Source organism: Homo sapiens, chromosome X, assembly GCF_000001405.40.
Source record: "Homo sapiens chromosome X, GRCh38.p14 Primary Assembly".
Lineage (NCBI taxonomy): Eukaryota > Metazoa > Chordata > Mammalia > Primates > Hominidae > Homo > Homo sapiens.
In genome coordinates, this window is record NC_000023.11 from 69864145 (window position 1) to 69880260 (window position 16116).

Below are 16116 nucleotides of genomic sequence, written 5' to 3' on the forward strand. Positions count from 1 at the left end.
TTAATTTTAAAATTGTACTATTCTGACACAACCAAGGACCCTCACAGAGTCCACTTCACTCCCCTGCTAACTCCACTGGAGCAGGTGCTGGTACTCACAGCTGCAAGACCTGAAGATGGATCACACCTGAAAATTGATGCACTCTTTGCAGACACTCCCTAGTACCAGCCCAGAGCCCATTAGCTCCACTGGGTGGCTGGACCCAGAAGAGAAATAACAGCCACTACAGTTCAGCTCTCAGGAAGCCCCATTCCTAGGGGACAGGGAGAACACCACATCAAGGGAGCACCTCGTAGGACAAAAGAATCTGAACCATAGCCCTTGAATCCCAGATCTTCCCTCTGACATAGTCTACCCAAATGAGAAGGAACCAGAAAAACAATTCTGGTAATAGGACAAAACAATGTTCTTTAACACCCCCAGAAGATCATACCAGCTCACAAGCAGTGGATCCAAACCAAGATGAAATCTCTGAATTGCCAGAAAAATAATTCAGAAGGTCAATTATTAAGCTAATCAAGGAGGCACCAGAAAAAAGTGAAGTCCAACTTAAATCAAAAACATGGCCAGGCACAGTGGCTCATGCCTGTAATCCCAGCACTGTGGGAGGCTGAGGCGGGTGGATCACTTGAGGTCAGGAGTTCAAGAACAGCCTGGCCAACATGGTGAAATCCCACCTCTACTAAAATTACAAAAATTAGCCAGGCATGGTAGTGCATGCCTGTAATACCAGCTACTCGGGAGGCTGAGGTATGAGAACTGCTTGAACCTGGGAGGTGGAGGTTGCAGTGAGTCGAGATCGCCACTGCACTCCAGCCTGGGTGACAGAGCGAGACTCCATCTTGAAATAAAAAACATGATACAGGATATGAAAGAAAAATTATTCAGTGAAATAGATAGCATAAATAAAAAACAATCACAACTTCTGGAAATCAAGGACACAGAGAAATGCAAAATGCACTGGAAAGTCTCAGCAATAGAATCAAACAAGCATAAAAAAGAACTTCAGAGCTTGAAGACAAGGCTTTCAAATTAACCCACTCCATCAAAGACAAAGAAAAAAGAATTTAAAAAATGAATAAAGCCTCTGTATTAGTCAGGGTTTTCTTAGACAGAACTAATAGGGTATATATATAAAGTTTATACTTAATAAACTCCCATATATATACATACATATATATGTATATATAGTGGGATCACAAGGTCCCACAATAGGTTATTTGCAAGCTGAGGAGCAAGAAGAGCCAGTCCGAGTCCCAAAACTGAAGAACTTGGAGCCCAATGTTTGAGGACAGGAAGCATCCAGCACGAGAGAAAGATGTAGACTGGGAGGCTACGCCTGTCTCTTCTTTTCACATTTTCCTGCCTGCTTTATATTCACTGGAAGCTGATTAGATCGTGCCCACCAGATTAAGGGTGGATTTGCCTTCCCCAGCCCACTGACTCAATTGTTAATCTCTTTTGGCAACACCCACACAGACACACCCAAGATTAATCCTTTGTATCCCTCAATCCAATCAAGTTGACACTTAGTATTAACCATCACAAGTCCACCCCTTGTCAACTTGAACCCATACACATCTCCTGAGATCATTCATAATCTTCAAATAAAGACAATGAGGTCATAATTACACCTAACATAATACAACTGTCCTTCGTACAACTGGAATTGCACCAATCCCCAACTCAAATACTATTAAATAAAGTTAACACTTAAATGCTGATACGAAGTCAGTAAGTCTTACGTCACATGATAAAGGAAAAGGAAATAAGATGAAGATATTTTCTTAGTACAAGTATATAAATGCACCAACATGTTTTTAACAAAAGAAGTAGGAAATATTCATGACAGTTACAGTCCCCGTTTCTGCAGCTGGTCATGTGGTCGTAGCTGGTATTGATGACTACCTTCTTCTACTACCCATTCTGTATTCTCTTTGCCTTCAGCGAGCACCTCAGCAGGTCATGGCTTTTTTCCTGGTGGAGTGACTCAAACCTTCATTCCTGGAGGGTCTGGGTCATTCATAGTCCTGCCTGGATTGGGCTGTTGTAGTTTCCCATTGACCTTAATCACAAGGTATGGTAATGCTAAGAGACGCCCTAATGGATCTCCTGTATTCCATGCATACTCTTCCTTACCATCCTTGTGGAGTAGTAGACTTATTTCATGTTGATAGCCTGGGTCAACCACCCCAGCCAACACTGTAACTCCCCTTTTACCCTGTTGACTTAAGATTAGGAGGAGCCTAAAGTGTCCAGGTGGCAATCTTAACTTCCAGTTTAATGGAATCATTGTTATGTCTCCTGGTGGCAGCGTTCTTCCCTCTAGAACTAAGATCTCTAGGCCAGCAGAACGTAATGTTGCGGGAACAGGAGGCAAAAATTTTGCTAGTGGATCACTAGGGGTGATGGTAAGTGGTGCCACTTCCACTTCCATCTCTTGATTCCTGGACCTGTGAATTCTGGCTATGGGAGAAATAGTACCATATATTGGATGCTGATTCAGAGCATACACGGCCTTATGGAGAACTTTGCCCCAGCCTGGCACAGTGTTGTCACCTAATTGGCATTGTAATCGTGACTTCAAAAGGCCATTCCACCGTTCTGTCAATCCAGCTGCTTCAGGATGATGGGAAACATGGTAAGACCAGTGAATTCCATGAGCATGAGCCTACTGCCTGCCGCACTTCTTTAGCCATAAAGTGAGTGCCTCGGTTAGAGGCAATGCTGTGTGGAATACTGTGATGGTGGATAAGGCATTCCGTTAGTCCACGGTTGGTAGTCTTGGCAGAAGCATTGTGTGGAGGATAGGTAAACCCATATCTGGAGTAAGTGCCTATTCCAGTGAGGACAAACCTCTGCCCTTTCCATAATGGAAGAGGTCCAATATAATCAACCTGCCACCAGGTGGCTAGCTGATCACCCCAAAGAATGGTGCTATATCGAGGGCTCAGTGTTGGTCTCTGCTGCTGTTAAATTGAGCACTCAGCAGTGGCTGTAGCCAGGTCAGCCTTGGTGGATGGAAGTCCATGTTGCTGAACCCATGCATAACCTCCATCCCTGCCACCATGGCCACTTTGTTCATGGGCCCATTGGGTGATGACAGGGGTGGCTGGGAAAAGAGGCTGAGTGGTGTACACAGAATGAGTCATCCTATTCACTTGATTATTAAACTCCTCCTCCACTGAGGTCACCTGTTGGTGAGCATTCACATGGGATACAAATATCTTCATAGTTTTTGACCACTCAGAGAGGTTCATTCGCCTACCTCTTCCCCAAATTTCTTTGTCACCAATTTTCCAATCATGCTTCTTCCAAGTCCCTGACCATCCAGCCAAACCATTAGCTACAGCCCACAAATCAGTGTATAATCGCACATCTGGCCATTTCTCCTTCATGCAAAGTGCACAACTAGCATTGCTCGAAGTTCTACCCACTGGGATGATTTCCCTTCACCACTGTCCTTCAGGGATGTCCTAGAAAGGAGCTGTAGTGCTCTAGCTTCCACTTTCAGGTGGTGCCTGCATATCATGCAGAACCATCTGTGAACAGGCTGTAATCTTCTCTTCCTCTGTCAACTGATCATAGGGAACTCCTCATGAGGCCATTGGTGCAGGCTGGGGGAGAGAAGGTAGGGTGGCAGGAGTGGAGACCATGGGCATTTGAGCCACTTCCTCATGTAACTTACTTGTGCCTTCAGGAGCTGCTTGAGCCCAATCACGTATATACCACTTCCATTTAATGATGGAATGCTGCTGTGCATGACCCACTTTATGGCTAGATGGGTCAGAAAGCACCCAGTTCATGATAGGCAGTTCAGGTCTCATGGTGACTTGATAACCCATAGTCAAACTGGAAAAGCCCAGTCTCTCTGGCCAAGAGCTGTCTCTCAAAAGGAGAGTAGTTATCTGCAGAAGATGGCAGGGCCTTGCTCCAAAATCCTAGAGGCCTCCATTGTGATTCACCTGTGAGAGCCCGCCAAAGGCTCCAAACAGCATCCCTACCAGCCACTGACACTTCAAGCACCATTGAATCTGCTGGGTCATATGGTCCAAGTGGCAGAGCAGCTTGCACAGCAGCCTAGACCTGTTGCAGAATCTTCTCCTGTTCTGAACTTCACTCAAAACTGGCAGCCTTTCAGGTCACTTGATAAATAGGCCAGTGTAATACACTCAAATGAGGAATGTGTTGCCTCCAAAATCCAAATAAGACCACTAGGCATTGTGCCTCTTTCATGGTTGTAGGAGGGGCCAAATGCAGCAACTTATCCTTTGCCTTAGAAGGAATATCTTGACAGGCCCCACACCACTGGACCCCTAGAAATTTTACTGAGGTAGAAGGTTCCTGAGTTTTAGTTGAATATATTTCCCATCCTCTGGCATGCAAATGTCTCACCAGTAAGTCCATGGTGTTTGCTACTTCTTGCTCACTGGTTCGAATCAGCAAAATGTCATCAATGTAATGGACCAGTATGATATCTTGCAGAAGAGAAAAGCGATCAGGGTCTCTCCAAATAAGATTATGACACAAAGCCAGAGAGGTAATATACTCCTGAGGTAGGATAGTAAAGTATATTGCCGGCCTTGCCAGCTGAAGGCAAATTGCTTCTGGTGGGCCTTATGGACAGGAATGGAAAAAAGGGCATTTGCCAAGTCAATGGCTGCATACCAGGTACCGGTAGATGTGTTAATTTGCTCGAGCAATGAAACCACATCTGGTACAACAGCTGCAATTGGAGTTACCACTTGGTTAAGCTTATGATAATCCACTGTCATTCTGCAAGATCCATCTGTCTTCTGCACAGGCCAAATGGGAGAGTTGAATGGGGATGTGGTGGGAATCACCACCCCTGTGTCTTTCAAGACCTTGATGGTGGCACTAATCTCTGCAATCCCGCCACTGATGCAATATTGTTTTTGATTTACTATTCGTCTAGGTAGAGGCAGCTCTAATGGCTTCCATTTGGCCTTTCTCACCATAGTAGCCCTCACCTTACTAGTCAGGGAGCCAATGTGAGGGTTCTGCCAGCTGCTAAGTATGTCTATGCCAATTATGCATTCTGGCACTGAGGAAATGACCACAGGATGAGTCTGGGGACCCACTGGACCCACTGTAAGTCTGACCTGAGCTAAAACTCCATTGATTACCTGACCTCCATAAGCCCCTACTTGACGTTTTGGGTCCCCTGGAATCAAGGTCAGCTCAGAGCCAGTGTCCAGTAGTCCCCAAAATATCTGATCATTTCCCTTTCCCCAGTGCACAGTTACCCTGGTAAAAGGCCGGAGGTCTCCTTGGGGAAGGAGAGGAGAAAGATTCACTGCATAAATTGTCAGTAATATAGTGGGGTCCTTCCTCAAGGGGACCCAGCCTCCCCTTCATTCAAGGGGTTCTGGGTCTGTAAACGGGCTCAAGTCTGGAAATTGATTGAGGGGCTGTGATTCAAATTAGTTTTTTGTCCATTTGACCTAGAAGTTTTCTGTTTGTGTAATTTAAGTAGGAATGCAGTAGGCTTCCTATCAATTTCACTCCTAGGAACACCATGATTAATTAGCCAATGTCAGAGCTCTCCACTAGTCAGACTATTCTGATTGTTGCTTTGCCTCTGCTGTCCATTATGGTAGCCATGCCCACCTTGCCTTTCATGGTTGAGTGCTGTCACGTGGCCGCTGCCACCTCAGGATCCAATTATTCCCATTGTATTTGAATTTTGTAGTTGAGTGACTATGGTTCCCACCATTAGATCTGACATACAGAGAAGAGCAATTACAGGGCTATTCAAAGATGCAGGTGCTGCCCTCACAAATCTATTTTGCAAGGCATCAGTCAAGGGTATAGCTTCTGGACCCTCCCAGCTGGGATGAGTAAGTCTAAAGTAACTAATCCACTCCACCATCCCAATCTCCCTAAGCCTTTGGATCCCTTCCTCTACATTAAACCAAGAAAGATCAGGCATTTCCAGCTCACTCATGGTGGGCCATCTTTTAATCCATATTTCAGCTAACCAAGCAAATAAACTATTATAACCTTTTTTAACTCCCTGAGCTGCAACATTAAAAGCAGAGTCCCTACTTAGTGGGCCCAAATCAATAAATTCAGCCTGATCCAACTCTATGTTTCTTCCACCGTTATCTGATACCCTTAATATCTATTCCCATGCTTGTTCTCCAGGTTTCTGTTTATATTAATTAGAGAACTCAAACAGTTCTTTTCCAGTGTAGTGCACCTCCTCATGGGTCACACTCTCAAACTTACCTCTAGGGGCCCGCCGGGAGTTTAGTCTAGTTATAGGTCTAGAGGCAAACAGAGATGTTGGGGGTGGTTTCTGAGGAGAATCAACATTATCTTGCCTGGCAACTGCCTCAGGGGAGGCCATTACTGTTGCCTCAGGCAGTGCAGGGTTTATCTCCTCAAAGGTGGACAAGCTGATGGCAGCATAGGTCAGGGAGGGGACGTTGCCACTACTAGGGATGGGGAAACTGTTCCTTCTTGCAAAAAAGGTTCATCAGAGTTTGCAAACTCAGTGTGCCCAGCTTCATCAGGGTCCTCCCACGCATCCCCATTCCAGGTTGCAGGGTCCCATTTTTTTTCCAATCAATGCCCTCATTTTAACAGTAGATACTTGGCAAGGCTGTGCATGCATCTTTCATTGTAGGTCAACCACTCGTATAGTAAGAGCTTGTGTCTGTTTTTCCACAGTTTCAGCTCTTTCTCTGCAGGAGATAAGACTCTCACTCAGGGCAATCTTAGCAGATTTGCGGCTCAGTATCTGCTTCTGAAGTCAGGTGACAGAATCCCTGAGTTCATTTTCTTTCATCACTTTTTCCACTGAACTTAGGAGCAACCAACCAGCTTCATTATGTTCCTTGGTTCTCCACATATGGTCAAAGGTATTATGTATAGAGTCATTGAGCTCCTTGCCTCTCATGAGTGGTGAATCAGAAGTGTCAAATGCATTTATTTTGCATAACTCTCTAAACAGTTTCTGCCAAGGACTATTAATGTTCTCCATACTATTAGAAGTAGAGTCCTTAGCATTTTTGAGTCTAATCATATTAAGCAGCCAACTCCAGAAACCCCAAAACCAACAAAAGAACTCCATGCTTAATATTCTGTTTCTCTAGAAACACTCCTGGTACTAAAATCTGTATTAGTTATGGTTCTTTCAGAGGGACAGAACTAACAGTATGCATATATAAAGGGGAATTTATTGAGTATTAACTTATACAATCCCAAGGTCCCACAATAGGCTGTCTGCAAACTGAGGAGTAAGGAGAGCCAGCCTGAGTCCCAAAACGGAAGAACTTGGAACTTGGAGTCCAGTGTTCGAGGGCAGGAAGCATCCAGCATGAGAGGAAGATGTAGACTAGGAGGCTAGGCCCGTCTCTCCTTTTCACATTTTTCTGCCTGCTTTATATTCACTGGAAGCTGATTAGATTGCCCACTGGATTAAGGGTGGATCTGCCTTCCCCAGCATACTGACTGAAATATTAATCTCTTTTGGCAACACCCACACAGACACACCCAGGATTAATACTTTGTATCCCTCAATCCAACCAAGTTGGCACTCAGTATTAACCATCACATCTTCCAAGAACTTTGGGACTATGTTAAACATCCAAACCTAAGAATAACTGGCTTTCTGAGGAAGAAGAGAAACCTAAAAGTTTGGAAAAGATATTTGAGGAAATAATTGAGGAAAACTTCCCTGGCCTTGCTAGAGAGCTAGACATCCAAATACAAGAAGCTCAAAGAACACCTGGGAAATTCATCACAAAAAGATCATCACCTAGGTACATAGTCATCAGGTTATCTAAAGTCAAGACATAGGAAGGAATCTTAGGAGCTGTGAGACAAAAACATCAGGAAACTTATAAAGGAAAACCTATCAGATTAACAGCAGATGTCTCAACAGAAACCCTACAAGGTAGAGGGGATTGGGGTCCTGTTTTTAGCCTCCTTAAACAAAACAATTATCAATGAAGAATTTTGTATCTAGTGAAACTAAGCTTCATAAATGAAGGAAAGATACAATCTTTTCCAGACAAACAAATGCTGAGAGAATTTGCCATAACCAAGCTGGCACTACAAGAACTGCTAAAAGGAGCTCTAAATCTTGAAACAAATTCTCAAAATACACCAAAATAGAACCTCCTTAAAGCATAAATCTCACAGGACCTATATAACAATAACACAAACAAAAAAACAAAGTATTCAAGCAACAAATAGCATGATGTATAGAATAGTACCTCACATCTCAATACTAACTTTGAATGTGAATGGCCTAAATCCTCCACTTAAAAGATATAGAATGGCAGAATGGATAAGAATTCACCAACCAAGTTTCTACTGTCTTCAGGAGACTCGCCTAACACATAAGGACTCACATGAACTTAGATAAAGGGGTGGGAAAAGATAATCCATGCAAATGGACACCAAAAGCAAGCTGGAGTAGCTATACTAATAACAGACAAAACAAACTTTAGAGCAACAGCAGTTTAAAAAGACAGAGCAACATTATATTAATGATAGAAGGACTAGTCCAACAGGAAAATATCACAATTGTAAATATATATGCACCTAACACTGGAGCTCCAAAATTTATAAAACAATTACTACTAGACCTGAGAAATGAGATACACAGCAACATAATAATAGCGAGGGACTTTAATACCCTACTGACAGCACTAGACAGGTCATCAAGACAGAAAGTCAACAAAGAAACAATGGACTTAAAATATGCCCTACACAAATAGACTTAACAGATATATACAGAACATTCTACCCAACAACTGCAAAATATATATTCTATTCCTCAGCACATGGAACATTCTCCAAGATAGACCATATGATAGGCCAAAAAAAACTCAACAAACTTAAGAAAATTGAAATTATAGCAAGTACTTTCTCAGACCATAGTGGAATAAAATTGGAAAGCAACTCCAAAAGCAACCCTCAAAACCATGCAAATACATGGAAATTAAGTAACCTGCTCCTGAGTGATCATTGGGTTAAGAACGAAATTAAAATGGAAATTTAAAAATTCTTTGCACTAAACAATAATAGTGACACAACCTATCAAAACCCCTGGGATAGATCAAAAGCAGTGCTAAGAGGAAAGTTCATAACATTAAATGCCTACATCAAAAAGTCTGAAAGAATACAAATAGACAATCTAAGGTCACACCTCACAGAACTGGAGAAACAAGAACAATCCAAACCCAAATCCAGCAAAAGAAAAGAAATAACAAAGATTAGAGCAGAACTAAATGAAATTGAAACAAACAAAAAAAATACAAAAGATAAATGAAACAAAAAGCTGGTTCTTTGAAAACATAAATAAAATTGATAGACCATTAGTGAGATTAATCAAGAAGAGAGAAGATCCAAAGAAGCTCAATTAGAAATGAAATGGGAAATATTACAACTGATACCACAGAAATACAAAATATCATTCAAGGCTACTATGAACACCTTTATGTGCATAAACTAGAAAACCTAGAGGAGATGGATAAATTCTAAGAGAGAATTGAAATGATAATTTAAAAATTGCCAACAAGCAAAGAATCCGGGATCATAAAGATTCACAGCTGAATTCTATCAGACAGTCAAAGAAGAATTGGTACTAATCCTATGGAAACTATTCCAAAAGATAGAGAAAGAGGGAATCCTCTCTGAATGATTCTATGAAGCCAGTATCACCCTAATGCCAAAGCCAGCAAAGGACATAACAAAACAAGAAAACTACAGACCAATATCCCTGATAGATGCAAAAATCCTCAACAAAATACTAGCAAACCGAATCCAACAGAATATCAAAAAGATAATCCATCATGCTCAAGGTGGTTTCATACAAGGGTTGCAGGGATGGTTTAACATATGTAAGTCGCTGGGCACGGTAGCTCACGCCTGTAATCCCAACACTTTGGGAGGCCGAGGCAGGCGGATCACCTGAGGTCGGAAGTTCAAGACCAGCCTGACCAACATGGAGAAACCCCATCTCTACTAAAAATACAAAAAGTTAGCTGGACGTGGTGACACATGCCTGTAATCCCAGCTACTCAGGAGGCTGAGGCAGGAGAATCACGTGAACCCGGGAGGCAGAGGTTGTGGTGACCTGAGATTGTGCCATTGCACTCCAGCCTGGGCAAAAAGAGCGAAACTCTGCCTCAAGAAGAAAAAAAAAGGAAAAGAAAAAAAAGTAAGTCAATTAATGTGATACACCACATAAACAGAATTAAAAACAAAAATCACACGATCATCTCAATAGATGCAGAAAAAGCATTTGACAAAATCCATCATCCCTTTATGTTTAAAACCCTCAGCAAAATCAGCATACAAGGGACATACCTTAAGATAATAAAGGCTATCTATGACATACCCACAGCCAACATTATACTGAATGGGGAAAAGTTGAAAGTGTTCTTCCTGAGAACTGAAACAAGACGAGGATGCCCACTTTCACCATTTCTATTCAACATAGTACTGGAAGTCCTAGCCAGAGCAATCAGACAAGAGAAAGAAAGAAAGGGCATCCAGATTCGTAGAGAGGATGTCACTGTTTACTGATTATATGGTCATATACCTAGAAAACCCTAAAGACTCATCCAAAAACCTCCTAGAACTGGTAAATTAATTCAGCAAAGTTTCAGAATACAAAATTAATGTACACAAATCAGTAGGTCTGCTATACACCAACAGCAGCCAAGCTGAGAATCTAATCAAGAACTCAACCCCTTTCACAATAGCTGCAAAAAAATAAAATACTTAGGAATATAACTAACCAAGCAAATGAAAGACCTCTATGAGGAAAACTACAAAACACTGCTGAATGAAACAATAAATGGCACAAACAAATGGTAACACATTCCATGCTCATGGATGGGTAGAATTAATATTACGAAAATAACCATACTGCCAAAAGCAATCTACAAGTTCAATTCTCATCACAATACCATCATCATTCTTCATATAACTAGAAAAAACAATCCTAAAATTCATATGGAAGCAAAAAAGAGCCCACACAGCCAAAGCAAGATGAAGCAAAAAGAACAAATCTGGAGGCCTCACAATACCTGACTTTGAACTATACTATAAGGCTATAGTCACCAAAACAGCATGGTGCTGATATAAAAATAGGCACATAGATCAGCAGAACAGAATAGAGAACCTAGAAATAAAGTCAAACACTTAGAGCCAACTGATCTTCAACAAAGCAAACAAAAACATAAAGTGGGGAAAGAACACCCTATTCAACAAATGCTGCTGGGATAATTGGCAGGCCACATGCAGGAGAATGAAACTGGATCCTCATCTCTCACTTTATACAAAAAATCAACTCAAGATGGATCAAGGACTTAGAAATCTAAGACCTGAAACTATAAAAATTCTAGAAGATAACATCAGAAAAACCCTTCTAGACATTGGCTTAGGCAAATTTACTTCATGACCAAAAACCTAAAAGCAAATGCAACAAAAACAAAGATAAATAAGTGGGACTTAATTAACTAAAGAGCTTTTGCATGGCAAAAAGAACAGTCAGCAGAGTAAACAGACAACCCACAGAGAGGAAGAAAATCTTTACAAACTATGCATCTGACAAAGGACTAATATCCAGAATCTATAAAGAACTCAAACACATCAGCCCCCCAAAAAACCAAAGAATCCCATCAAAACATAGGCTAAGGACATGAATAGACAGTTCTCAAAAGAAGATATATATAAACAGCCAACAAACATATGAAAAATGCTCAACATCACAAATTATCAGGAAAATGCAAACCAAAACCACGTGATACCACCTTACTGCTACAAAAATGGCCATAATCAAAAAATCAAAAAATAAGAGATATTGGCATGGACATGGTGAAAAGGGAACACTTTTGCACTGCTGGTGGGAATGTAAACTAGCACAACCGCTATGAAATACAGTGTGGGGACTCCTTAAAGAACTAAAAGTAGATCTACCATTTGATCCAGCAATCCCACTACTATGTATCTACCCAGAGGAAAATAAGTCATTAAGCAAAAAAGATGCCTGCACACGCATGTTTATAGCAACACAATTTGCAGTTCCAAAAATATGGAACCAGCCCAAATGCCCATCAGTTAACGAGTGGATAAAGAAACTGTGGCATATATATATATGGTGAGGTATAAAGGATTACACATTGAGTACAATGTACACTGCTCAGGTGATGAGTGCACAAAAATCTTAGAAATCACCATTGAAGAATTTAATAATAAGAATAAAATATAAGAATAAAATAAAAGAATAAAATAAAAATAATACAATAAAAAATAATAAAAAAAGAATAAAAATAAGAAATGTTTAAAAATTATACTATTCTGAGAGTTTGGGCAAATACATACAGCCATGTAACCATCACTTCAATCATCATGTAAAACCATTGATCATCTTCCTAATTATCCCAGAGATCTTTTTATAGTCAACCCTTACCCCTGCCCTCAGCTCTTGGTAACTACTTGTCTGTTTCCTTTCCCTATAGTTTTGCCTTTTCTAGAACATCCTAAAAATGCAACCATGGAATATGTAGGTTTTTGCATCTGGCCTTTTTTCATTTAGCACAATGCATTTGAGGTTTATCTGTGCTGTTGTACATTAGCTTTCTATGCCTTTTCGTTGCTTAATAAGATTACATTTTATGGACATGATATAGTTTATCCATTCACAGGTTGAAGGACATTTAGATTGTTTCCAGTTTTTATGATTATGAATAAAACTGTTATAAACATTTATTTATGGGGTTTTGTATAAACATAACATCATTTCTCTTTTTTAAATATATAGGAGTAGCACTACTGGGTTGTATGAAGAATGTGTATTTAACTTTAGAAGAAAATGCCAAACTGTTTTGCAAAATGACCATACCACTAGACCCAGCAGGGTGGCTCCTGCCTATAATCCCAGCACTTTGGGAGGCCAAGGTGGGAGGATGGCTTGAGGCCAGGAGTCTGAGACCAGCCTGAGCCCATCTCTGTGAATATATATTTTTTAAATTAGCCAGGCATGATGGTACACACCTGTAGTCCCAGCTACTTAGAAGGCTGAGGCAGGACAACTTGAGTCCAGGAGTTGGAGGCTGCAGTGAACTATGATCATACCACTGTATTCCAGCCTAGGCGACAGAGACCCTGAGTAAAAAAAATGACCATACCATTTTGCATACCCTTGAGCAATATATGAGAGTTCCTGTTACCATCTCTTCGTACTGTTCATTTTTAAAATTATTATCTCAGACATCCTAATAAGCATATAGCAAAATTCCATTGAAATTTAGATTTCTTTAATGATTAATAAAGTTGAATATCTTTTATAATGTAGTAAAGTGTCAGTTTAAACCTGTTACCCATTTTTTCTTTTTTTTGTTTTTTTATTATGACTTTTGAGAGTCCTTTATATTTTTTGTATAGAAGTTCTTTATAAGACATGTGATTTGTAAATATTTTTTCTCAGTCTGTGAGTTGTCTTATTGCTTTCTTACCAGTGTCTTTCACACAGCAGAAATTTTGAAGTCCAATTTATCAAGTTTGTTCTATTATAGATTGTGCTTTTGGTGTCATATCTAAGAAATCTCTCCCAAACCCAAGGTTACAGAGATTTTCTCTTATTTTTCCTTCTGGATATTTTATAGGTATTACATTTATATCTTTGATTTATTTTGGGTTAATTTTTGTATATGGTGCAAAGCATGAGCTGAGGTTCATCTTTTTTGCATATAGATAACAGTTGTTCAAGCACCATTTGTTGAGACTATTCTTTCCCTATTGAATTACTTTGACATCTTTGTCAAAAAGCAATTGACCATATATGTGTAGGTCTATTTCTGGATGCTCTCTTTGTTCCCTTGATCTATGTGTTCATTCTGTTGCCAGTAACACAGACTTGATTCTCTCCTCTAACTTTGTTCTTTTTCTTTTTCTTTTTTTTTGAAAAGATACAGTTTTATTAAACAAACCTGGAATCAACAGTATATTACATAAATTAGACAGCAGTAAAATTTTCCTAGGGCATATGTACAAATCACAGTGATTTCCATTGTGCAACAGACAGGATTAAAAATAGGCACTCCCCTCCCCGACCCCCCATGAGAAGGCGGGGTCACCCCCGCAGGGTTCCCAGTTCTGGCTCGCCAAGGGGTGCACAAACCTGCAAAGGCACTTTGCTTGTGTGCGCGGCAACAGGGGCCCCAGAAGCACGTTGGCAACATGGTGAGGCTGCCCAGTGTTCAGCGCAAAAAAATAATTCAGCTATGGCAGCTGAGCAGAGCTCAACAGCCATCTCAGAGGACAAGGACTGTGGAAAAGCTTCAAATCTCATCCGCTAAAACACAATTGCAATGCCATTTACATGCAGAACAGACGTCTCCACCATGGAAGATCAAACTAAGCCTGAACAGAACTTCCCAACACATGATAATTTACAGAAAACCATGACAGAGCATCCCTGCTATTAGGAAGGACTGTTCTGCGGGGTGCAAGGCCATAAGGTTTGCAAAGCAAACTTGATTATGAAAAGGCTTGGTGAAAATACAGCCCCTCACCTTCACCAAGACACACACACACACACACACACACACACACACACCGCAAAGAAACTATCCAAATGCATTAAGACACCTGTTCGTGTGCTTTTCTTCTTGCTTTTGTTAAGTGAATCCCATCCGTTTAAGTTAGACTAATTAGAAGGCCTTCTTGCCTCCGTCGGCAACAGAGAAAAACAGTGCATACGACTCCTCCAATGTGTGTAAAATGCATGCTAGGTAGATTGAAGGAAAAATGAGAGGAACCCGGGCACCCCACTTCAAATCTCATGTTTGCTGACTATAAAAATAAATCATAGTAATATTATTGAACATTCTACTTTGTTCTTTTTCAAAACTGCTTTGGCCATTCTCGTTCTTTGATTCCGCGCCGCCCCCTCCCCGCCCCCAACCGCTCCCGCCAAGCCTTCAAGGTACTGTTCAGCTCTTAGTGGCTAGTCTGGAACCTGCACTGTGGACTACTGCTTAGTTCCGTTCTCGAAGTCTTTCATATTGCTGTTTAGGATCTGATCCTTGCATTTGCAACTTGGGGATGAGCCCAGGGATTTATAAGCAACTTTATGGAATTGCTTTCCTGATCTTCTCCCTCTCTACAGTCTCTCAGTCCTTTCCTATTCCTTGTTGCTGTTCTTTTTGGTTCTTCAGCCATAGTGATAGGGCTTTAGTTACCTGTTTCTGTCACATACTCATCACTACTTTATCTGCGTCCAGGGCCAAGTGGCTGTAAGAAAGAAAGAAAAAATATAATGGTGATCAACTCACCCTCTTGAGACCTCAGCTCCTCCAACAGGAGAGAAAGTTCGCCTTCCCTCAGTTTTAGGCAACTACAGCATCCCTGCTAATGCTGATGCTGCCATTAATGCTGCTGCCTCTATAATGGAAATGCTTATAACTAGGTCATGAGAGTATGGAAAAAGGAACCAAAAAAACACACAGAGTGTTTACCCCACTGTTTCCTCCTCAAAACAGAACAAGAAATACTGCTGTTTCTTTAAGAGGAAAAGGAAGATGGCATACCTGGGCTGGAGAAAAATTTTCTCCACCTACCCGTTGTTTCTAGCAGTATGGCTTCCTCTTCCTCTGTGCCTGTGTAGCCTCCATCCCCAGCTGAACATGGGTGCAGGTTCCTCCTTCCCTGCCTCCTGTGAAGTTTCACTATAGGCCACAAACTGTGAAAAATCTAAAGTCAACTCTCCCCATGTGTTGGTATTCTTACTTTCTTGGCAAGCAAATTCTGTTCTCCAAAACAGTAGTAGTAGGACAACAAGTTGTTCTTAGCAAAGGAAAAAAATCACTTTATTGTTATTTTAGTTTTTTTAAAAAACCAATAAAGTGGCATATTGTATCTGATTATATTGGGAGGTTTACCATTTTTTTGTTCTGAGGGGGATGGGACCAACCAAGCCATTCACAACGAACATGGGTTCAGAGGAGTTTCTAAATGGAAAGAGATTAATCTGTAGCACCCAGAAGATAAGCCAAACTATGTCATTTTGAGTGAACAGTCAGGTTGGCAAGGCAATGTACTTGAATTTTCATTCACCTTTTCAGCTAC

At 41.0% G+C, this 16116-nt stretch overlaps 1 protein-coding gene and 1 pseudogene across 6 annotated transcripts in view; one reads left to right on the forward strand and one right to left on the reverse strand.

Moving 5' to 3' along the window:
• Window positions 1–16116, forward strand: part of EDA (ectodysplasin A) — a 423360-nt gene that overhangs the window by 248032 nt on the left and 159212 nt on the right. The gene's annotated exons all lie outside the window — the stretch shown is intronic.
• On the reverse strand, window positions 14001–14800 carry PRKXP2 (PRKX pseudogene 2; annotated as a pseudogene).